At 45.1% G+C, this 24,512-nt stretch overlaps 1 annotated feature.

The window, feature by feature from the left end:
• Window positions 24,022-24,222: a silencer, noted in NCBI's record as "peak2534 fragment used in MPRA reporter construct". NCBI's record gives its function as "represses an SCP1 promoter by STARR-seq MPRAs in K562 erythroleukemia cells {active_cell/tissue: K562}" and the evidence as "EXISTENCE:reporter gene assay evidence [ECO:0000049][PMID:32103011]".

Genomic DNA, 24,512 nt, shown 5'->3' with positions numbered 1-24,512 from the left:
AGCCTGGCTAACATGGTGAAACCCCGTCTCTACTAAAAATACAAAAATTAGCCAGGTGTGGTGGTGGCTGCCTGTAATCTCAGCTACTTGGGAGGCTGAGGCAGGAGAATCACTTGAACCCAGGAGGCGGAGGTTGTAGTGAGCCAAGATCATGCCACTGCACTCCAGCCTGGGCAACACAGTGAGACTCCGTCTCAAAAAAAAAAAAAAAAAGAAGTAGTTGTCGATATTTAAAAACTGGCAGATTTCACATAAAATTGGGGATTTTTACCTTCTTTTCAAAACCCCAAAACTCTGGTAATATAAAACTGGCACCAGTTGGCTAAGCGAGGCATGGCTTCCCTTTAGACTGTGTGAGCTTCCTCCAGTTCATCACACACCCTCCTGGCCTCAGGCACGTTGGAGGTGAGGAGCTCTGCTGAGACTGTTTTAAAGAGGAGGAAGCTGAGGCCCAGCGAAGGCTGTAAACTTGGCAAAGGTCACACAGCAAATGTTTGGAGGAGCTGGGATCAGAACTCACGCTGGTCAGATACAGAGATGCAAGAGGCGGGTGGTCCGTTCTCACAAGGGTCTCTTCTGGAGAGAGAATGGAATGACTGAATGGGGAGTGGTCTGGAAGCCATGAGAAGCAGATGGGGCAGCTGGGCTGTGTCACCTGAGAGCAGAGATGCCTCAGGGAAGAAGTGGGGTCCTGGATAGTCATTTCCAGGTGGGAAGGAATGAAGGTGTTCTACGTGATTTTAGGAATACAGCCAGTATTCACTGGGCACTTATCATATGCCAGGCACAGTGCAAAGTGTGTTGAATGAACTCATGCGCTCTCCTTCATGACAGCCAATAAAATAGGCATTAAACATTTTATTTATTTATTTATTTAGATGTGGTCTTTGCTGTGTCTCCTAGGCCAGAATGCAGGGGCGCAATCATAGCTCGCTGCAGCCTCGAACTCATGGACTCAAGTCATCCTCTTGCCTCAGCTTCCCAAGTAGCTGGGATTACAGGTTTGCACCACCACAGCTGGCTCCTTTATAAAATTTTGTTTGTAGAGACAGAGTCTTGCTATGTTGTCCAACCTGGTCTCAAGCTCCTGGCCTTAAGTGATCCTCCTGCTTCAGCCTCCCAAAGCTCTGGGATTACAGGTTTGAGCCACTGTGCCCAGCAGACATAGACACATTTATAACCCTCCTTTTTACAAGAAACGAAGGCTCAGGGAAGGTTGAAATTTACCATGCTAGATTTAACTATTGGCATTAATATTTTGGTCTTTCCTCCTTCCTGAGTATCCAGGAAAGTACATTTTCCAGCCCCTTGCAGTTAAGCAGGGCCATGTGGTTAGCCCAGCCAATGAAATGTGGGTGGAAGTGATGGGTGCCACTTCCGGGTTGAAGCAGGAAGAGACTTTCTGTAATTATCCAGTGTCTTTCTCTCTCTTGCCCTGGTGGTGGTAGATGAGGCTGTGTTGTGGTCCTGGAACCATAAGTTCCAAGTGGTTCCTCGCATTGCTACGTGGCCACATCTGCAGCAGATTTGCATGACGCCAAAGGGACTTTTCTCTTGTGAAGTCATTGAGATTGAGGGATTGCAGCAAATCTCAGCCTACCTCAATTAACACATCCTACAGCTGGGAACTGGTGCGGCTGGGATTTGAACTCAGATCTCTCTGACCACAGACTGAAAACAGAATCAGGGAAGATGGTTGTAGATTCAGGGACACACATTTTCCCCACCTTCTGCATTTTAACATTTTGAAATCAGGTTTCGTCTGATAATCAATGGCACCTCACAACAGTTGTTGGCCTGTTGGTCGTGTGAGCTTTGTCTTTGCCTCGTATCTTTTGGCAAGATTTTCTTTAAACATAAAGGGCCAACATCGAAACTTGAAGAACGAATGAATGTCTGCTTGAAATAAAACCTCGGGGACAATGGTAGAACATTCTTTTAAGAAATGTTGCATCACTTACATTCTTGATGTCCTGGAAGATGCTATTGCATGAAAAACACAAACATCAATGCCTCTGTGTTGAAAAGAGATTCACAAGAGCTGAACTCTGAATGTGAAGATGTTTTAGGATACTGCGACCAATTTATTTTGCTAATACTTCCCATTTTATATATGCACAATAGGGATATATGATAAAAAATCTATGTCTAAACAAGTCCAAGAGCATTCTTTCAATACTTACAAAATAAAAATTCTAAGTGATAGTAAAACATCGTGTCTTGGTTTAATTGGCAGTGTTTTTTCTTTCTTAGTGGTACACAAAGATGCACCCTACAATCAATATGGCATCTTAGATTTGCTGAAATACGGTCCGTGTAGATCCTGGGAGGCAGAGTTTGTTGCCGTTAGCTGCCTTAGGGGGTCTGGAGCTCCTGGAGAGCCTGCTGGTTGGGAGGAACTGGCATCATCGTGGGGGCTCCATTCTCAGAGGCCCCTTCTGTGCCCAAGAACCTGGTTTTGACTTTCTTCTGTGCAGATTCTCTTTTCGACAGCTCCTGGTTTATGGCTGCTCAGTGGAGCTGATAGAGTTCAGGATAAACGCAGGCTCCACAGAGGGAATGAGGAATCCTCAGAATGTAATAAAGAGAAAGAGAGGGAGAGCTCCCAAGGCCCCTTCCAGGGAAATCAAGTGAAATTTCTGGAATGAAGATGAAGACAGCTGGCATCTTTTCCTGTCTGTCTTCCTTAGCGTCAAGGGCCTGGATGTGGCTCTGGCTCAGACAGCAGCTCTATCTGAGGAGTGAGGCTTGGGGTGGAGGGGTGGAGGGGTGGAAAGGAGAGGAGAAGGAGCTGCTGAGTCTCAGTACTTCCTCACCCTGGCCAAGTGCAACTCCAGTTTCATCACCTTCCCTGACTGTATCAGTCAGGCCAGACCATGTGATGCTACAGTAACAAACAGCCCCTCATCTTAGTTGTGGTGGCTGATTACCACCAAGTTTTCACTCTCAGGTGTGTTTCATGTCCCTCCTAGGTCTGTTGGGGGCTTGGTTCAATTCTTCCTCACTCAGGGACCCTGGTGGACAAAGCCTCTGCCATCTGGAGACATCATAAGTTTCCATGCAGAAGCGACATATGTCATTTCCACCTACACATCATGGCTAGAGCACATCACGTGGCCACATCTAATATGAAAGGAAATGCAATCCTGGCATGTGACCAGAAGGAGGGGAGACTAAATATTCCTGAATGGCCCTGATGACGTTCCTATTGATTGCCTTCCCTTCCCTGGCCATACCCAGTTTTCTTTTCTTTTTTATTTTTTTGAGATGGAGTTTCGCTCTTGTCGCCCAGGCTGGAGTGCAATGGCGCGATCTCGGCTCACTGCAACCTCCTCCTTCTGGGTTCAAGCGATTCTCCTGCCTCAGCCTCCCAACTAGCTGGGATTATAGGCATGCGCCACCACACCCAGCTAACTTTGTATTTTTAGTAGAGATGGGGTTTCTCCATGTTGGGCAGGCTGGTCTCGAACTCCTGACCTCAGGTGATCTGCCCTCTTCAGCCTCCCAAAGGGTTGGGATTACAGGCGTGAGCCACTGTGCCTGGCCCATATCCCGTTTTCTAGCCATGCCCTTGTCTGTAATTACCTCATCCCTGGCCACACCCCTTCCCTCAGAGCCTCTGCATTCCTGATCATGTCCCCATGAGTGAGGCAGTGCTCGTGTGACTGTGAGTCCTGGTACCTGCTTCTGAAAATGTTGCCCTGTGTCTATTCTCCACCAGCATCTCCCATGTCATATGGTTCTGGGTATGCTTGCCCCACTGGGCTGTGACTCTGAATCCACAGGATGGTGCTCATTCATTCTGTGTCCGGGACAGAACCTGGCACAGAGGAGGTGTGCACCTGAAAGATGAACAGATAACGAAATGAAGGATAAAATGAACCTGTTGAAGAACCACGTACTCATCACCCTGGGGATTCTGGATGGCCTGAGCTTGAACCCCAGTTTTTGCCCAGTGACTGGCACTGTCAGAAATGGCCGGGGCTCATTCCATGAGCAGAAGCTTGTGGAAGCTGCAAGCCCCGGCCACACGTGTGCATATGGCTGGCTTAGCCTCTCTCCAAAGAAGGTGGTTAAATGTCAGGTGCTTGGAGCTCAGTTGGCTAGGGTGGCATGCCTGTCATCTCAATAACCACCACGTACTGTGGTCTCACTCTGTCTGAGTTGCCATACAGATGCCTCCCCAACCCTCACCACACCTGGCTGTATTTCAAATTTTAACAGACACTGTCAAATTGCCCTCCCCACATCTACCAATTTTATGTTAACAGTACATGAAAGTAAGGCTGGGTGCAGTGGCTTATGCCTGCAATCCCAGCACTTTGCGGGAGGATTGCTTAAGTCCAGGAGTTCAAGAGCAGCCTGGGCAACATAGTGAGACCCCATCTCTATAAAAAATTTAAAAAACTAGCTGGGATGATGGTGTGTTCCTGTAGTCCCAGTTACTTGGGAGGATGAGGTGGGAGAATCACTTGAGCCCTGGAGGTCGAGGCTGCAGTGAGCCATGATCACTCCACCACACTCCAGTTTGGTTAACAGGGTAAAACCTTAAACAAATAAACAAACAAGACTCCAGTACATGAAAGTACCCATTTCCTCAGGCACTCGCCAGCCCCAGACATTTTCAATCTTGCTCTGTTCGTCCAGTTGATAGGCCTGAAAGGTCTTGCCATTGTTTTAATTCCTATTCCCATGTTTTTTTCATATGTTAGCTGGCCCTTAGTCTTTGTTGGGTGTGGGTTGCCTGTTTATACACTTGGTCCATTGCCCCATTGGGTTGTTTTACTATTTCTTGTTGATTGGTATGAATTTTTTGACAGTTACATGTGTTGAAAACCTTTTTTCTGCTCACTGGAATTTCAATGGAGAACTTTTGCCTAGTTTAATTCAATTCAGTCGTTTTCTAGAGAGACTATTTCCTGGACCAGAGATGTCTGAGAGTGAGGAGCAAACTGGGCTACATTAACCCAGGGAAGTACCAGCTGCCTGGTGAGCAGAAGCCTGTGGAAGCTGCAAGCCCCGGCCACATGTGTGCATATGGCCCCCTTAGCCTCTCCCAAAAGAATGTGGCTGAGTGTCAGGTGCTTGGAGCTCAGTTAGCTGAAGTGGCATGCTTGTCCTCTCAATAACCACCATGTACTGTGGTCTCACTCTGTCTGAGTGGCCATACAGATGCCTCCCCAGTCCTCACAGCAGCCCTGTGAGATACATGTCACTGTCTGTCTCATATAGATGAGGAAACTGAGGCTGAGTAAAATGTGTTTCCATTATTTTGCAGGACAATGTAGGTAGCTGGGCCAGGATTCAAGAGTGACTCTATTTGATTCCAAATCCCACACTCTCTCCATTGCAACATGGCACCCCTAGCCTGCCAAGAGGCTCTGTAGTAATGGGAGTTTCTGATACTTCTACTCCTATGACCACTGCTGCTACTATTGTTACTCCAATGACTAATACTACTAACAAGTATTACTTTGATTACTACTATTATTACCATTGCTTTTATAAGTAAATTAATTTAGTAAATCCTTTTTTTTTTCATGTTAGGCATAATTTTGGCAAACAACACATACCTGCTCCTTACCCTAGAGGAGCTTAGGTTTTAGTGGATGATGATAAAGCAAGTATTTTTTTAAAAAATTTTATTTTACTTTAAATTCTGGGATACATGTGCAAAACATGCAGGTTTGTTACATAGGTATACATGTGCCATGGTGATTTGCTGCACCCATCAACCCATCATCTAGGTTTTAAGCCCCGAATGCATTAGGTATTTGTCCTAATGCTCTCCCTCCCCTTGCCCCCCACCCGCTGAAAGGCCCTGATGTGTGATGTTCCCCTCCCTGTGTCCATGTATTCTCATTGTTCAACTCCCACTTATGAGTGAGAAAATGTGGTGTTTTGGTTTTCTGTTCCTGTGTTAGTTTGCTGAGAATGATGGTTTCCTGCTTCATCCACGTCCTTGCAAAGGATATGAACTCATTCTTTTTTATGGCTGCATAGTATTCCATAGTGTATACGTGCCACATTTTCTTTATTCAGTCTATCACTGATGGGCTTTGGGTTGGTTCCAAGTCTTTAAAGCAAGTATTTTTTGAGTTCTTCCCATGTGCCAGGCACTTGCTTGGTGCTTATGGACATTATTTCATTCAGTTCTTACAAACACCCTGGGAGTTAGCATTATTCTTCTTCTTCTGGTCTTGGCTCAAATGTCACCTCCTCAGAGAAGCCTTCCCAACACTTTATATACAAGAGCCCCCCAGTTCTTGCCATCCTGTCACTCTGTGCACTTCCTTATTTATTTATTGAGATGGTCTCACTCTATCGCCCAGGCTGGAGTGCAGTGGCACAATCTTGGCTCACTGCAACCTCCGCCTCCTGAGTTCAGGTGATTCTCATGCCTCAGCCTCCCGAGTAGCTGAGATTATAGGCACACGCCACCATGCCCAGCTAATTTTGTATTTTTAGTAGAGACGGGGTTTCACCATGTTGACCAGGCTGGTCTCGAACTCCTGGCATCAAATGATCCACCTGCCTCGGCTTCCCAAAGTGCTGGGATTACAGACGTGAGCCACCATGCCCAGCCGCACTTCCTTTATTGTTCAGGTCATATTTTATTATTTTCTCTTTGAGGGTTGTCTGTTTCCCTTGCTAGACTGAAAGTGATCTGAGGGCAATGGCCATGTGTATTGAGTTTACCACCTGCTGACCTGCACCTGGCCCAGCACACAGTAGGCAGTCCATAAATATCTGTGAAATGAGTTCCCATTTTGTAGAGGGAAAACTGAGGCTTAGAGAGGCAAGCAACTTCTCCAAGGGCCCATTGCCAGAGAGGCAGAACTGAGACTCGTCTTAGTCTTTCTTGCTCTAGTGCCCAGTCTTTGTTCACTACCCTACAGGGAATTCCGGACTGGGGCTGTGTCTTGGAGATCTGGGTTGCTGCCTGAAGGTGTGGTTAGGTCAAAAGTGCTGTCTCTTAACTGGCTTTGTAAAAACCAATCACCTGGCCATACTTGGTGTCTCCAGGTAGGTAATTTAGGAGTCACCACGGGGTTCAAGAAGCCAACTCCCTGGCCAGGTGTGTGGCTCATGCCTGTGATCCCAGTGCTTTGGGAGGCCAAGGCAGGAGGATCACTTGAAGCCAGGAGTTTGAGACCACCCTGGGCAACATAGCAAGATCCCCCGTCTCTACAAAAAAATTACCTGAGCGTGGTGGTGAGTGTCTGTAGTCCCAGCTACTCAAGAGGCTTGAGCCTAGGAGTTTGGGACTGCAGTGAGCTATAATTACACTACTGCACTCCAGTCCGAGCAATAGAGACCTTGTCTCTAAAAAAATAAAACAGAATAAAATAAATAAATAAATAAAAGAAGCCACATCTTCAGGTTCAGACTAGCAAGGTTTTGCCTGGTGAGATTCCCTTTGCCTCCCTGATATGAGAGGACACTGTTCGCCAAGTTGTCTTAGCCTCCCAGGGCCAAGAGAGAATTTCAGAAAATAAAGCCCAACCCTTTCGGTGGTGAAAATCTTAGCAATGTGTAGCAGCTGCTCTATGGGGGTGGGAGGTGGTGCTGCAGTGGGCTTTTCCCAGACACATTGAACTTTCTGGGCCACACTCTCTTAATTCCAGGTCTTTGCATAGATTTTTGTCCTCAATGTCTGGAACACTCCTCTGCTCCCATTCCTACTTCCTTCACCTGGCAAATCCATAATCAGCTTAAATGTTGCTTCCTTGGAGAAGCATTCTAGGGCTCTCCAAGTCAGGACTGGGCATGCTCTGATATATCTTCACAGTATCCTGCACTTTCTTCCAGACATGCCAGACTCCAAGAGCAGGAAGCACCTCTTGTTCACCACTGTAGCTGCAGCACCTGGCTCAAAGTCTGGCATAGACTAGGTGCTCAGTAAGCCTTAGTTGTATGAGCATGAGGTGCTTCTGACCACCATACTATCCAGTCCTGCAGGGATATGTCCTTCTCAGCAGAGGTGACCAAGGTCCCTTTTGGTCATTTGATTGTTCCAATCAGTGGCTTCTCTAAACCATCTGTCTTCAACCATCCTGTTATGGACTGAATTGTTTTCCTCCACCCCCAGTTCATATGTTGAAGTCCTAACTCCCCATGTGACTGTCTTTGGACATAGAGTGTTTAAGGAGATAAAGTTAAATGAGATCGTAAGGGTGGGTTCTTAATCTGATAGGACTGGTGTTCTTGTAAGAAGAGGAGGAGACACCAAAGAGCTCTCTCTCTTTCCTCACACGCACAGAGGAAAGGCCATGTGAGGACATAGCAAGAAGGTGGCCATCTGCAAGCCAGGGAGAGAGCCCTCACCAGAAACCTAATCTTCTGGCACCTTGAGCTTGGACTTCCAATCTCCACAACTTTAAGAAAATAAATTTCTGTTGGCTGGGCACAGTGGTTCATGCCATAATCCTAGCACTTTGGGAGGCTGAGGCAGGTGGATCACTTGAAGTCAGGAGTTCAAGACCAGCCTGGGCAACACGGTGAAATACCATCTCTAGTAAAATACAAAAATTAGATGGGCTTGGTGGCAGATGCCTGTAATCCCAGCTACTCAGGAGGCTGAGGCAGGATAGTTGATTGAACCTGGGAGGAGGAGGTGGCAGTGAGCCAAGATCACACCACTGCACTTCAGCCTGGGTGACAGAGTGAGACCCTGTCTCAAAAAAAAAAATAATAAACAAACAAACAAACAAACAAATAAATAAATAAACAGAAAATAAATTTTTGTTGTTTAAGCTACCCAATCTGTAGTATTGTGTTAGGGCAGCCTTAGCAGACACTAACACTGATTATTTCTCTTGGGAAAACTGAGGAAGTTTCCCAACTCCTTGCTCAAGCTCCGGATCTCAGTTTAGCTGGCGGTTCTTTCTTAGGGATGGCTGGCCTGGGGCCAATGGCTGTGGCCAAGGAGAGCCAAGCCACAGCAATTTCCATATTTGGAACCCTTGTGGTTTGGGAAATACATTTCCTGTAAGCCTCATTTGAGCCAAATACACAGCAATGTGCCGTTAATATATTTAGCTAACTGTTTAATTGGGCTATTGGCAACAGTTTCAAAGGAGTCAGATTGAATAACAACAGAATATGTCTAACTATCGAAAAAATTATAATGTGTCAGCATGCAGGCACTGCGAGGGTGCTGCCAAGTCTGTCATCAACATGCGTCTATCTGAATTGCTTTCTTTAGGTGGGGACCTTGTTTTGTTTTTCTAAAAGAATGCTGCTTTTAATTATGTTCAGTTTTAAAGCACTGTGAAATATCAAGGAGAGATCTCAAATATACTAACATTTTTGCCCTTAAGCTCTCCTCCTACACAGTTGGCTGTTCTGCCATTTGGACGGGCAGCTCAGTCTTGCAGGAAGATCAATTAGGGGTCTATTTATTGCTTCTATGTACCCTCTCTCACAGCAGGCATCAGGGCCTAAAGTGTGTCCCCTAGAGCTGGCTAGCTCAGCCCTGGAGACATCGCCTGCATAACCTTTGGTCATCTCATTCCTAGCACCCCTGTGGTATGGTTTGAAAGTTTGTTCTCCTCCAAAACTCATGTTGAAACTCATGTTAAATTGCTAATGTAACCATATTAAGAAGTGGGCCTTTTGGAGGTGATCGAGTCATGAGGGTGGAGCCCTCTTGAATGGGATTAGGTGCCCTTATAAAAGGGCTTGGTGGAGGGAGTCTTTTACTTCTCACTTTCTGCCATTCGAGGACACAGCATTCCTCTCCTCTGGAGGATGCAGTGTCAAGGTGCCATCTTGGAAGCAGAGAGCGGCCCTCACCAGATATCAAATCTGCTGGTGCTGTGATCTTGGACTTTCCAGCCTCCAGAACTGTGAGAAAGTAACTTTCTGTCCTTTAAAAATTGCCCCGTCCCAGGTATTTTTGTTATAGCAGCGCAAAACAGACTAACACACCTTACCTGGAGACACTCACCCCTATATCCAGTGAAACACCAAGTCATGTTGATTCTCCCTCTCTTTGTGCCAGTCTCCCACTCCCCAGCCCCTTGGCCCTCCAGATTTAGCACGGCTATGGTGGACACTTCCCTGTCCCTGCTAGCACTCTATTTCATAAGTGCACAGCAAGGTCTCTGCTTTGCTTTCTCCAAAGCTGTGCTATGCAACATAGTGGCCACTACCACATATGATTATATAAATTAGAACAAATGAAAGTGAGATATAAATGAAAAATTGAGTTCCCCAGTGGCATCGGCCACATTCCAAGTGCTGAGTAGAAACATGTGGCTAGTGGGGATCATATCAAACAACACAAAACATTTCTATCATCACAGAAAGTTCTATTAGACAGTGCTGCTTTGAAATCTCCAAGGTCATTCAGCTATGTGCACATGCAACCCAGATATGCATCGGGTCTCACACCCCTGGGGGCTCCCTTCAGCCAGTGGGGGATGGGAGTTGGTGGTAAATTCCTCATGCCCCCTGTCCTCCAGTGGGCAGTTCTGTTTGGTTGCTTAGATGCTCCTCAGTGGGATTGAGCTCCAGGGACCCCCAGGAGTAACTTGCTCCATGGTACACCCTTTATTGGCTCATCTCCCTTCCCTGTCACTCTTTCCCTGCGTCTTCACTTGTGCTTCCTGAGATCACCTCCCAAATGAGCTATGTGCATCCAAGTCCTTGTCTGTGGTCTGCTTTTAGGGGAGCCCTAGCTAGGACACCCCTGAATTTGTAGGTTTTTCTCTACCTGCAATGCCTCTGCCTCAGTGTGGACCCCTACCTTCCTATCTGGGAGATGGTGACAGCCTCCTAATGGGTCTCCCTGCCTCCTCTCTTACCTTCCACCAGTTTCCATAGCAAAGCCAGAGGACAACAAATAACACAAATGTGAACCACCTCTGCCCCATGCTTCCAGTTCATATATTGAAGTCCTAATGTCCAGTACCTTGGATTGTGACTGTATTTGGAGGAATGGTCTTTATGGAGGTGATTAAAGTTAAATGAGGTCATTGGAGGTGGGCCCTCATCCACTATGACTTGTGTCCTTATAAGAAGAAGAGATTTAGGACAGACATGAGCAGAGAGAAGACCACTGAGGGCACAGGGAGAAGGCAGTCATCTACAAGCCAGGGAGAGAGGCCTCAGGAGAAACCAACCCTGCTGGCACCTTGATCTTGGACTTCCAGCCCCCAGAACTGTGAGAAAATAAATGTCTGTTGCTGAAGCTTCCCGGCCTGTGGTACTTGGTTATGGCAGCCCTAGCAAAATGATGCATGCCCATTGCCCTGAGGAGAGTGGCCAGATTCCTTAAAATGGTTTTTTAGGCCTGGGTCATATTCAGTTCTAACTTACACCCAGCCTCTTCCCTCCTACCTCTGAGCAACTGGGAGCAACTAATCCACAGCCAAATTATCAAAAGCAATTAGCCAAAAATCACTCATCTGTCTAATGGTCAATTTGCCCAAATCACAAGATCTTAAACAGAGCCTTGGGCAGTTCATGCAAGAACCAGGACTAGAGTGAGGTAGGGGATTTGTAGTTTTCAGTATAAAAGTCCTATATGTGTTTTGTTAGATTTTTCCTTAAGTATTTCATTTTTCAAAGGGAAGGCAATTGTAAATGGTATTATATTTTTAATTTCAATGTCCATGTGTTCATTACTAGCATGCAGAAATGCAAAAGATTTTTGTATATTTATCTTGTATCCTGCAAACTTGCTGAACTTACTTATTCTAGGAGCTTCCTTTTTTTTGGAGATTCCTTGGGATTTTCTATATGTAAACAAAATCATGTTATCTGCAAATAGGGACTGTTTTATTTCTTTCTTTCTGATCTGTATGCCTTTTATTTCCTTTTCTTGCTTAATTGCTCTTGCTATACATTTCAGTACTCTGTTGAATAAGAGTGGTGAGAGCAGACATCCTTGACTTTTTCCCAATCTTAGGGAGACAGTATTTGGTCTTGCACCATTATGTATAATGGCAGTTGTAGGTATATTGTACATGTTCTTTATCAATTTGAGGAAGTTCCTCTCTACTTCTAGTTCTATGAGAGTTTTTTTTTCTAATATGAATGAATGTTGGATTTTGCTAGATACTTTTTCTCTATCAATTGATATGACCATGTGACTTTTTTCATTGTTAGCCTGTTAATATGGTGGATTTCACTGACTGATTTGCCAATGTCAAGTCAGCCTTACATACCTGGAGTAAACTACTAAGTCATAGTGTATTTTTAAAAATATATTGCTAAATTCTATTTGCTAATATTTTATTAAAGAAGATTTTTGCCCTCATATCTATGAGGGTTATTGATCTGTAGTTTTCTTTTTGTTGTACTGTATTTGTCTGATATTGGTAACAGTGAAATATTAGCTTAATAAAATGAATTGGGAAGTGCCCTTCTCTTCTATTTTCTGGAAGATATTATATAGATTTCATTGTATTTTCAAATGTATTTTCTTTAAACTTTTGATAGAATTCTTCAGTGAAACCATCTGGGCCTGGAAACTTCTTTTTTTGGAAGGTTTTAAATTATAAATTCAATTTTATTAATAGTTAAAGGGTTATTCAAATTACCTATTTCACATTGTTTGAGGTGTGACAGTCTGCACTTTTTAAGAAATTGGTTAAATTCGTGTATATAGAGTTGTTCATAGTATTCCTTTATTATCATTCTTTTGATGTCTGCAATGTCTGCAGTGACTCTTTGTTTCACCTTTGATGTTGGCAATTTGTGTCCTTTTTTTTTTTTTTGAGATGGAGTTTCACTCTTGTTGCCCAAGCTGGAGTGCAATGGTGCAATATTGGCTCACTGCAACATTTGCCTCCCGGGTTCAAGCAATTCTCCTGCCTTAGCCTCCTGAGTAGTTGAGATTACAGGTGTGCACCACCACGCCCAGCTAATTTTTTTGTATTTTTAGTTGAAACGGGGTTTCACCATGTTAGCCAGGCTGGTCTTGAGCTCCTGACCTCAGATTATCCGCCCGCCTTGGCATCCCAAAGTGCTGGGATTACACGCATGAGCCACTGTGACTGGCTTGTGTCTTTTTTTGTTTTTCTCAGTCTTCCTAGAAGTTTGTCAATTTTATTGATCTTTTCAAAATACTAGCTTTTGTTTAATTGATTTTCTCTATTGCTTTCCTTTCAATTTTATTGATTTCTATTTGCATCTTTCTTCCGCTTTCTTCAGTTTTATTTTACTCTTTTTTTCCCCAGGTTTTTGAGATAGTAGCTTGGACTATTATTTGAGAATTTTCCTCCTTTCTCATGCAAGGATTTAGTGCTAAAATTATCCCTTTCAACATTGCTTAACTGCGTGCATTGATTTTATTATATTGTATTTTCATTTTTGTTGAGTTCAATGCATTTTAAAATTTCCCTTGAGACTTCCTCTTTGACCTATGATTTTTTAGAAGTGTGTTATTTAGTTTCCAAATATTTGGAGATTTTACTGTTTTCTCTCTGTTATTGATTTCTACTTTGATTCCACTGTCATCAGAGAACACACTCTCTATGGTTTAAATTCGTTTAAATTTATTGAAGTTTGTTTTATGGCATAAGATATAGTCTATTCGGGTATATATTTTGGGGACACTTGAATGTATATTCTGCTGATGTTGGATGGAGTGTTCTATAAATGTCGATTAAATCCTACTGGTGGATTTCTCAATAAGTGGTATTGTTGAGTTCTTCTAAACCTTTGCTGATTTTTCTGACTAGTTGTTTTATCAATTGTTGAGAGAAGGTGCTAATATCTCCAACTAGAATGGTGTATTTGTCTTTCTCCTTTCAGTTCTAGCAGTTTTTGCTCCACATATTTTATAGCTCTGTCGTTTGCTTTATACACATCTAGGATTGCTATGTCTTCTTGGTAAATTGACCGTTTAATATTTATGTGGTGTTCTTTTCTGTCTCTAGTAATTATTTTTGCTCTGAAGTCTACCTTATCTAATATTAATGTATAAGATATATTGCTTTTTTGGTTAATATTCGCAGGATACATATTGATCAATTCTTGTACTTTTAACTTACCTACATTGTTATATTTGATGAGAGTTTCTGTAGAGAGCAAATAGCTGTGTTTCTATGCCAGTCTCTGTCTTTTAATTGACATATTTAGACTACTTATATTTAATTTGACTATTTATATGTTAGGGCTTAAGTGTGCCATTTTATTTTTCACGTTTGTCCTCTCTGTTTTTCATTTATCTGTTTTCTTTTTCCTGCCTTCCTCTGGGTTACCTGAACAATTTTTAGATTTCCATTTTAATTATCTACAGTGTTTTTGAGTGTATCTCTTTGTATGGCTTTTTTAGAAATTGGTCTGGATATTACATTACATACACCTAATTTATAACAATCTACTGGTGTAAACATTTCACCAGTTCAAGTGAAATGCAGAAAACTTTCCTCCCTTTTTGTCCCTTCAGCCATGCACTTTATAATACAATTGTCATAAATATTTCTTCTATGTACAATTAGAAACACATAAGATAGCATTATAATTTTTGAATTGGCCATTATTCATAATTTAGAAAACTCAAGAGGAGAAGAAAAACATTGTGAACCTACTCATATTTTTACTCTCTGTTGTTTTTTCTTCCCATTGTTTCAGATTTCCTCCTTTTATGAGTTTCTTTCTGTTGAGGGAACTTCCTTTAGCCATTCTTTCAAAGCGGCTCTGCTCATGGCAAATTATTTCAGTATTCCTTCACCTGCTAATGTCTTGATTTTCCTTCACCCTGAAGGATAATTTCTGCTGTAGAATTTTTGCTATAGAATTTTGCATTGACAGTTCTTTTCTTACAGCACCAGAAAAATGTTGTGGCTACTTCCTTCTGGGTTTCATGGCTTTTGATGAGAAATCCAAGGTCACCTGAATTGTTTTTCTCCATGGGCAAAATCTTGTTTCTCTCACTGCTTTCAATATATTTTTCTTGGCAGTCTCAAAAAAAGAAAGAAAGAAAAAAAAAGGGCCAGGCACAGTGGCTCATGCCTGTAATCCCAACACTATGGGAGGCGGAGGTGGGCGGATCACTTGAGGCCAGGAGTTCAAGACCAGCCTGGCCAACATGGTGAAACCCCATCTTTACTAAAAATACAAAAGTTAGCCGGGCTTGGTGGTGTGTGTCTGTAATTCCAGCTACTAGAGAGGTTGAGGCAGGAGAATCGCTTGAACCTGGGAGGCGGAGGTTGCAGTGAGCTGAGATCACACCATTGCACTCCAGCCTGGGTGACAGAGCAAGATTCTATCTCAAAAAATAAATTTTTTTTCTTTTCCTTTAGTTTTCAGAAGTGGACTGTGATGTGTCTTGGTGTGGATTTCTTTGGTTCTATTCTCTTTGCAGTTTGCTGAGCTTGTTGACTCTGTAGGTTTATGTTTTTTTGCCAAATTTGGGAAGTTTTCTACCCTGATATCCTTGGGTGACTTTTCAGCCCCATCCTCTTTCTTCTTTTCTTCTGTGACTTTAATGTTAGATTTTTTGCTGCAGTCCCAGAGGTCCTTGAAGTTTTGCTCCAGTTTTGAGAAGTCAATTTTCTCTCTGATATTCAGATGAGGTAGTTTATATTATTCTGTCTTCAAGTTCACTTACTCTTTCCTCTGTCCTCTCCTTTATGTGGTTGAGCCCAACCATTGAGTTCTTTAATTTCACGTATTGCATGTTTCAGTTCGAACATTTGCAGTGGGTTGTCTTTGATATTTTCTGTATCTTTGTGAAGACTCCATTTCTTTGTGGAGAACTTTTTAAAAAATTTTTTATTTCCATAGGTTTTTGGGGAACAGGTGGTGTTTGGTTACATGAGTAAGTTCTTTATTGGTGATTTGTGAGATGTTGGTGCAACCATCACCCGAGTAGTATACACTGTACCTAATTTGTAGTCTTTTATTCCTCACCCCCTTCCCACCGTTTCCCCCCTGAGTCCCCAAAGTCCATTGTGTCATTCTTATGCCTTTGCATCTTTGTAGCTTAGCTCCCACTTATGAGCAAGAACATACGATGTTTGGTTTTCCATTCCTGAGTTACTTCACTTAGAATAATAGTCTCTGATCCCAGTTCCTGCGAATGCCATTAGTTCATTCCTTTTTATGGCTGAGCAGTATCCCAGCATATATATACACCACAGTTTCTTTATCTACTTGTTGGTTGATGGGCATTGGGTTTGGTTCCAAATTTTTGCAATTGCAAATTGTGCAGCTATAAACATGCGTATGAAAGTATCTTTTTCATATAATGACTTCTTTTCCTCTGGGTAGACACCCAGTAGTGGGATTGCTGGATCAAATGGTAGTTCTACTTTGAGTTCTTTAAGGAATCTCCACACTGTTTTCTTTCTGGAGAACTTCTATTTATTCATTTGTTTCAAGTGTATAATTGCTTGGGGAAGTGTTTTTATGATGGCTGCCTTGAAATCTTTCAGTGACTTTTAGTTTTTTGCCAGGGCTTCTTGGTAGATAATTCTAATATCTCTGTCATTTCAGTGTTGTCATCTACTGATTATCTTTTTTACATTCAAGTTGAGATCTTCCTAGATTTTGGTATACTAGGTGATTTTTGATTGAAATCTGGACATTTTTGTATTATGTTGTGAGACTCCGTATCTTATTTGAATCTTCTGTTTTGGCTGGCTTCCTCTGATCCTATTCCAGTAGGGGATGGGAGGGTACCACCTCACTATTTCCAGGTGGGGTAGAAGGCTAGGTTCCCCATTTGATCTCTGTTGATACTCAAGAGGGGAGGGGCTCCTTGTTACTGCTGGGCAGGAGGTCAGGGGGCTGCCGCTTGCTAGGCCTCCACTGATACCTCCCTGGCTGGGAGGGGAGGAGTGCCTCATCTTTGTTCTATACTTGGTCTCCAATGACACCATGGGCTTGGTGGCCTCATTATCACAGGACAGTGGTGAAATTTCTAACTCTGAGATAGTGGGAGGTGCCTCATGACTGTCTGATGAAGTCCAGGCTCTCCATGTAGTTTCTCTTTTTTTGAGGCAGGGTCTCACTCTATCACCCAGGCTGGAGTGCAGTGACATGATCTCAGCTCACTGCAACCTCTGGGCCCCCCAGGTTCAAGTGATTCTCTTGCCTCAGCCTCCCAAGTAGTTGGGATTACAGGCGTGTGCCACCATGCCTAGCTAATTATTTTTTTTTGTAGAGATGGAGTTTCACCATGTTGGCTAGACTGGTCTCGAACTCCTGGCCTCAAGTGATCCACCTGCCTTAGCCTCTCTAAGTGCTGGGATTACAGCCGTGAGCCACTGCACCTGGCCTCCATGTAGTTTCTATTGATGCTGTAGGTGATGGGGGCTGTTTCCCACCCTGGGGGGGATGAATTCCATATTTGACCTCCTCTGCTATCACCCTAGGAGAGGGTGGGTGCCTCATTACAGCCTGGTAGAGATGATGGTGTAGTCAACCCACTCACCCTTGGCTGACATGAGTGGGGAAGGACATAGTGCTGTTCTCTGGTGTTTGGATGGAGGACAGTGGCTATTGTTAAAACGATTCTGCCTTGCCCGGTTGTCCTTTTCCTATTCCTTTGGTGGAAAGAACCAGCTTTTGTTGGTGATTTTTTGTCTCTGCCTAGTGGTGTTTCTGGATTGCTGGCTTCTTCAGTTCCAAGTCCAGGATATATGAGGCAAAAAGAAAATGTAGAAAACCCACCACTATGTACCTTGGGTCCCAATGTCCTTGGCCACCCTACCTTCTTCTCTCTACCCTTCAGAATCTCATGATTATTTTATGTATAATCGCCAGGGTTTTTAGTTGTGTTTATGGGAAGAATAGGAAAAAGCATGTCTACTATATTTTCCTGGGTATGTAAGTTCATAAATAAAATTTCAATGTAATATTAAAAAAATCCAAGTTAATGCAAAAAAAAAAAATCCAGAGTGAGCAAAATGCATTTTAAATAAAGACAGAAACAGGATTATTGATTTTTCCTTTTCCCTCATGCTCCAATATGGCTTGTCACAGCATTGTTACTGATCATGACTCTATTTAAAACATTTTCGGCCAGGCGCAGTGGCTCACACCTGTAATCCCAGCACTTTGGGAGGCCGAAGTGGGCGGATCACCTGAGGTTGGGAGTTCGAGACCAGCCTGACTAACATGGAGAAACCTCATCTCTACTAAAAATACAAAATTAGCCAGGCATGGTGGTACGTGCCTGTAATCCCAGCTACTCGGGAGGCTGAGGCAGGAGAATCGTTTGAACCCGGGAGGTGGAGGTTGCGGTGAGCCGAGATTGTGCCATTGCACTCCAGCCTGGGTAACAAGAGCGAAACTCTGTCTCAAACAAACAAACAAACAAACAAACAAACAAACAAATAAAAAAACGAAAAAAAATTGTCATTTTGTATATCATGAATTTTTTGCATTAATTTTGATTTAAAACATATTGCATTAAAACACTTCTCATGAGTTTTGTGTGTGCCCCCTAAACTTCATATCCGAGGCAAATACCTCACTTCCCTCACTTGAACTTCTCTGGTTTATGTGGCCTTTGAAATGACCCAGTCTGGCATGGCAATGGCCTGGGCCTGGCTGGGAGCATGTGTTTGTGATGGGTCCAGCTACCCAAAAGCTGGTCAGGAGGCCTCCCTTCCGATGCTCTGCCTGAGGGCTGTGGCCATAGCAGCCATGTTAGAGGAGGCTTTGGGGGCACATTCCCAGTTGTTTTGAAGGCAGAAGGCAGGCACGTGGAGGCGGCACAGGGATGGCCCCTCCCTCTGGCTACAATGAGACCCAAACTTCAAAAAAAAAAAAAAAATTCCTCAAAGCCTGCCAAAACGATTTGCAACACAAATTGCTGAAACTTCCTAAGTAGAATAGAAACAAATATTTAGTGAATCAATTACCTGGTAAATTGGTCATTTGGCTAGTTGATTTTCTATGCATTTGTGAGTTCCCCTAGAGAAGGCATTGTGGACAGAAGCCTGAGGCCATCTTCAAGGACCTCGCTGTCCTCCAAATGGCACCCTTCCTGAGCCTCTGTCATTTCACCTACACCTGGACAGGCAGGCAGCAGGTAACTTCAGAATGTCCAGTGGGTCGTGAAGGAAATGAAGGGACACAGTGAGAGTAACAGAGAAGCAGGGAGGTCAGGGAAGCCTCTCCAAGGAGCTGACTTTGAGCTGGAGACGGAGCCAGCCACGAGAAGAACTTTCCTGGAGGAAGGAGCCGCAGGTGCGAGTGAAAGAGGTGGCGTGGGGAAACCCAACCTAATGTGAACTCTGCCTTGGCCACTGGTGAGCTGTGTGCCCTTGGCCAGGGCATCCAGCCTTCGGGATTCTCAGTTTTCTCATCTGTTAAATGGGGATAATAATACCCACCTGTAAGGGCTGTTGTGAGGAGAAAAGTGTTATGGGTCAAGCATGAGCTGTTATTCATTATTTTTTATTTTTATTTGTTTGAGATGGAGTCTTATTCACACCCAGGCTGGAGTGCAGCGGTGCTATCCCAGCTCACTGCAACCTCCACCTCCTGCATTCAAGAAGTTCTCCTGCCTCAGCCTCCCAAGTAGCTGGGATTACAGGCACCCACCACCATGCCTGGCTAATTTTTGTATTTTTAGTAGAGATGGGGTTTCACCAAATTGGCCAGGCTGGTCTTGAACTCCTAACCCTTAGGTGATCTGCCCACCTCAGCCTCCCAAAGTGCTGGGATTACAGGTGTGAACCATCATGCCCAGGCTGTCATTCATTTTTAAATTCATGCAATCAATAAATATTGAACTTTCCTACTAAGCACGAGGTAGCATTCTAGTTACTGAACAAAAAAGGCAAAAATCTCTGCCCCCATGAAGATAAAGGGAAAGACAAACAATGAATAAAATAAACAAGGAAAATATGTGACCTGTCAGGCATCAACTCATGAAGGGAGGAAATGGACCAGGGCAGAGTGATGGGAGAGGTGGTGAGAGTCTGCAAGTCAAAACAGGGCAGTCAAGGCTGGGCGCGGTGGCTCATGCCTGTAATCCCAGCACTTTGGGAGGCCGAAGTGGGCGGATCACCCGAGGTCAGGAGTTTGAGACCAGCCTGGCCAACATGGTGAAACCCCTCTCTACTAAAAATACAAAAATTAGCTGGGCATGGTGGCACATCCCTGTAATCCCAACTACTCAGGAGGCTGAGGCACAAGAGTCACTTGAACCCGGGAGGCAGACGTTGCAGTGAGCCAAGATCATGCCACTGCACCCCAGCCTGGGCGACAGAGCGAGACTTCATCTCAAAAATAAAATAAGGTGGTCAGGGAGAGCCTTGCTAAAGAGATGATATCAGAATGGCAGTCTGCAGGAGGTGGGGCTGTAAAAATACTCCAGGATGGAGGAAAAGCAAGTGCAAAGGTCCTGGGGCAGGAATGTGCCTGTTGAGTTTGAAGGAGGCAATTGTGAAGGGAGCAGAATGAGCGAGCGGAAGGGAAGCAGAAATGAGCCCAGAAAGGCCATGGTATTGGTTTGTATGGGTTTTTCTCAGAGTGAGGTGGGGGCCACAGCATGATTTTGAGCAGAGGATATACATCATCTGACTTAGGTTTGTTTTTTGTTTTTTGTTTTTTTTTTTTTGAGACGGAGTATTGCTCTTGTTGCCCAGGCTGGAGTGCATTGGCGCCATCTTGGCTCACTGCAACCTCCACCTCCTGGGTTCAAGGGATTCTCCTGCCTCAGCCTCCTGAGTAGCTGGGATTACAGGCATCCACCACCTCACCTAGCTAATTTTTGTATTTTTAGTAGAGATGGGGTTTCGTCATGTTGGCCAGGCTGATCTCGAACTCCTGACCTCAGGTGATCTGCCTGCCTCGGCGTCCCAAAGCGTTGGGATTACAGGCGTGAGCCGTGCGCCCAGCTCGTTTTCTTACTTAAATATTCTTTTTACTTCAACAGCTTTTGGGGTACAAGAGGTTTTTTGTTACATGGATGAATTATGTAGTGATGAATTCTGAGATTTTAGTGCACCCATCACCCAAGTAGTGTACATTGTACCCAATACATAGTTTTTATTTCCTGCTCCCCTCCCACCCTCCACCTTCTGAGTCTCCAGTTTCCATTATACCACTCTGTAGGCCTTTGCATACTCCTAGCTTAGCTCCCACTTACAAGTGAGAACATAACGGTATTTGGTTTTCCATTCTTAAGTTACTTAGAATAATGGTCTCCAACTCCATCCAAGTTGCTGCAAAAGACATGATTTCATTCCTCGTTATGGCTAGTATTATTCCATGGTGTGTATGTACCACATTTTAAAAATCCACTCATTGGCCAGTGGGCACTTAGGTTGGTTCTCTGTCTTTGCAAGTTTGAGTTGTGCTGCAATAAACATACGTGTGCATGTGTCTTTTTCATAGAATGAGTTTTTCCGCCTTTGGGGTAGATACCCAGTTGTGGGATTGCTGGATCAGTCTGGCTGCTGTGCTGTAGTGAGGCAAGGATGAGCAGAAGCAGGGAGATTTGAGGAGGTAGCTGTGATGGTCAGGTGAGAGATGCTGCAGGCTTGGACCAAGGTGGTCAAGGAGGTGGTGAGAAATCGAATCCTAGATGTACTCTGAAGGGACATCCAGTAGGATTTGCTAGTGAATCAGCTGCGGGGTGTGAGAGAGCCTCTGGGGAGAGAACCTGTCCAGCCCTTGGGAGGCAGCCCCCGGCCCTGTGAGCCCCCGGTGGTGGGTTCTTGTGCCCCTGGTGGTGATGATGACAACTTGTCCTGATGCTCCAGAGATCAGCCACAGAACAGAAAATGTGGTAACAAGTGACTCTAATTGCTTCTGGTGTTTGCATCAAAGGAAAACCCAGCTCTATTTATAAAAAATACATTAGAAGGAGCCGCTCTGTGGGCACAGCGGGCAGAGTGGGAGAGCAAAGAGCACGCCATCATCTCGGTGCCTGGCTAATGCAGGTGAGGGGTCGAGCTGCAGGCTGATCCTCACAGCACCCCCAGCCCTCCAGGGAGCCAGAATGGGATGCAGATTGGAAATAGGGCAGGGGCTTAACCCGCATTGCTCCTTCCAGGCCACCTTCCTGAGCTTCTGGGACTACAAGCTGCAGACCATCAGCTGCACTGCTAGCTGGAGACTGTCCTCGGCCACAGGGACCTGCTCTGCCCAGGTGTATCCACTCTGGGAGGCAGCCTGGGCTGATGTGGGTCTACAAAAGCTGGGGCCCTTAGTCTCAATTCAGGGCAACCCTGAACTGCCGTCCAACTCTGGGACTTAACACAGGACTGACAGCAGCCTCGTGTGCAGTCACACTGCAGGCCAGCGTCTCCCTCCCAGACTTCCTCACTTCTGTGCGGAGTCATTCCTGACAACATTCCCCATAAACCTCACCCAACCCCCTGGCTCAGAATCTGTTCCAGAGCACCCAATTTAAGGTATCAGGAGTGCCATGGTTTCTGCTATCTCCACTTGGGGGTCCTCTGGGCAGTTCTTACCCCACCTGGCCAGGACTGAGTCCACTGATCTCCCTACCCCTCCTCTGGACTTTCTTACATCATCTGCCCAGTGACCCAAGCCAGAGGCGGCTGTTGACCTGAGACATTGTTTCCTGGCCACGTGGGACTCTTAATGCAAAGCGCCTGACATGGCAGCTGGCTTCAAGTGAGCAGGAGAGAAAGCAAGAGAGACAGGAGAAGGCCAGCATGAGGCAAGCCAGGGGCTTTTCTAACCTCATCTTGGAAGTGACATCCCATCCCTTTTGCAATGTTCTATTTATTAGTAGTGAATCCCTGGGCCAGCCTACGTGCAAGGCTGGGGGGCATATAAGGGCACAAACGCCTGGAGACAGGGTTATTGGGGGTTACCCTGGAGGCCAGCCACTGCACGTAAGCACTGCCCTTGCCCTGGACATAGACCCCGCAGCCACCTTTACCCAGTGAGCCCTGTATACTCAGTGAGCCCACCCCCGGCCCGTCTGATTGGTCCAGGAGGCATCCCTGACAGTAAGCTGGGCCAATCAGACTTCAGAATGATGCTGTTCGGACCCCTGAGCACTTGAATAAAGACTTGAACCCCAGGGAGCCCTGCCGTGCACATGTGGCCCCATGGAGAAGCAGGGAACGCCAGTTTGCAGAAAGGAGCCGGAAGCCGACACAGGACGGGCAGGGAAGTAAGGCATTGGAGTTCAGAGAGGGATGGAGACACCACCAGAAACAGTTCTGACCCGGGGCCTATGTCCCCTGAGATGCTCTGTTCTCACGGGAAGCTACTACTTTTGTCCCAGATATTTTGAGTGGATTTTATTCCTTGCAATCTTGCCCGGTTGTCCTTTTCCTATTCCTTTGGCTGGAAAGAACCAGCTTTTGTTGGTGCTTTTTTGTCTGTGCCTGGTGGTGTTTCTGGATTGCTGGCTTCTTTGGTTCCAAGTCTGGGATATATGAGGCAAAAAGAAAATGTAGAAAACCCGCCACCACTATGTGGCAATGAAACAGCCTTGAGAAAGAATAATATTTTCTCTGTTTGTTCCCTTTCTGCCCTTCTCCTTGTGCTTTGGCAAGACTTTTTCTGAAAATGTCAGCCCCTGGCTCAGCTGAGCAAAGGGAAAGGCAGGCTGGCATTTGTGGGCCTCTCACTGTGTACCAGGCTGGCCACGGGCATTATCTCAGATGATGAGGCAGGGCTGGTGTTGCTCCATTTCACAGAGATGGCAAAGTGAGGCTCAGAGGGCTTAAGGGACTGGCTCAGAGGTGGTTGAGCTGGGACACCTTGCCAGGATGGTCTGACTCACAAGCCTGGGTCGTTTTATTCTGCCAGACTCTAGCACCACCATCTGTCTATGATTGGGGCTGGGTGTTACAGGCGGCACAAAGAAGTGTTTGTCACTGCTTAAGGGGATTGTCTTCTACCCCTTCCCCCCATAATAAAGGAGAATAGTCACTCCCAGGGGCTCTAGGCTTCTCTGAGGTCCACCACCCTCACCCCCAGAATTTTGTCTCATTCATATCTCCCCTCAGTCAATGCCTTGCTTCAAATGCCCTTTGAGAATAATACGTTTCCAGAAAGTGATTTCTTGTATCTACTTTACCTCTCTCATGATGCAACTGAAATTTCAGGCAACACCACTGGGTCAAGGTGGAGAATGTACTGGCCCTGGAGTCATATATTAATGGAAATGAGTCTAAGCCTTGTTCTCACCTATTGTAACCGCCCAACGGGTTCTTCCTGCCCTCTGCACAAACAAAATCAATTCACAGCATTGCAGTAGAGAAAGAGTGTAATTAATGTGAGGCCAGCAACACCACGTGGGAGACAGAGTTATCACTCAAACCAACCTCCTGGAAGGTTCCTGGTTTAGGGGTTTTTCAGAGGTAGTTTGAGGGAAGAAGTGGGGGTGGCTATGCAGTGGGTGCCCACTGCCGATTGGCTGGGATGGAGATGAAATCTTAGGGAGTCGCAGCGTACCGAGGCGGGCTGATCACTTGAGGTTGGGAGTTCGAGACCAGCCTGACCAACATGGAGAAACCCTGTCTCTACTAAAAATACAAAATTAGCCTGGCACGGTGGCACATGCCTGTAATCCCAGCTACTCGGGAGGCTGAGGCAGGAGAATC

This window comes from Homo sapiens, chromosome 16 (assembly GCF_000001405.40).
Source record: "Homo sapiens chromosome 16, GRCh38.p14 Primary Assembly".
NCBI classification, from domain to species: Eukaryota; Metazoa; Chordata; class Mammalia; order Primates; family Hominidae; genus Homo; species Homo sapiens.
Note: the sequence above shows the minus strand (reverse complement) of the source record. Positions and strands in the feature narration are given on the sequence as shown.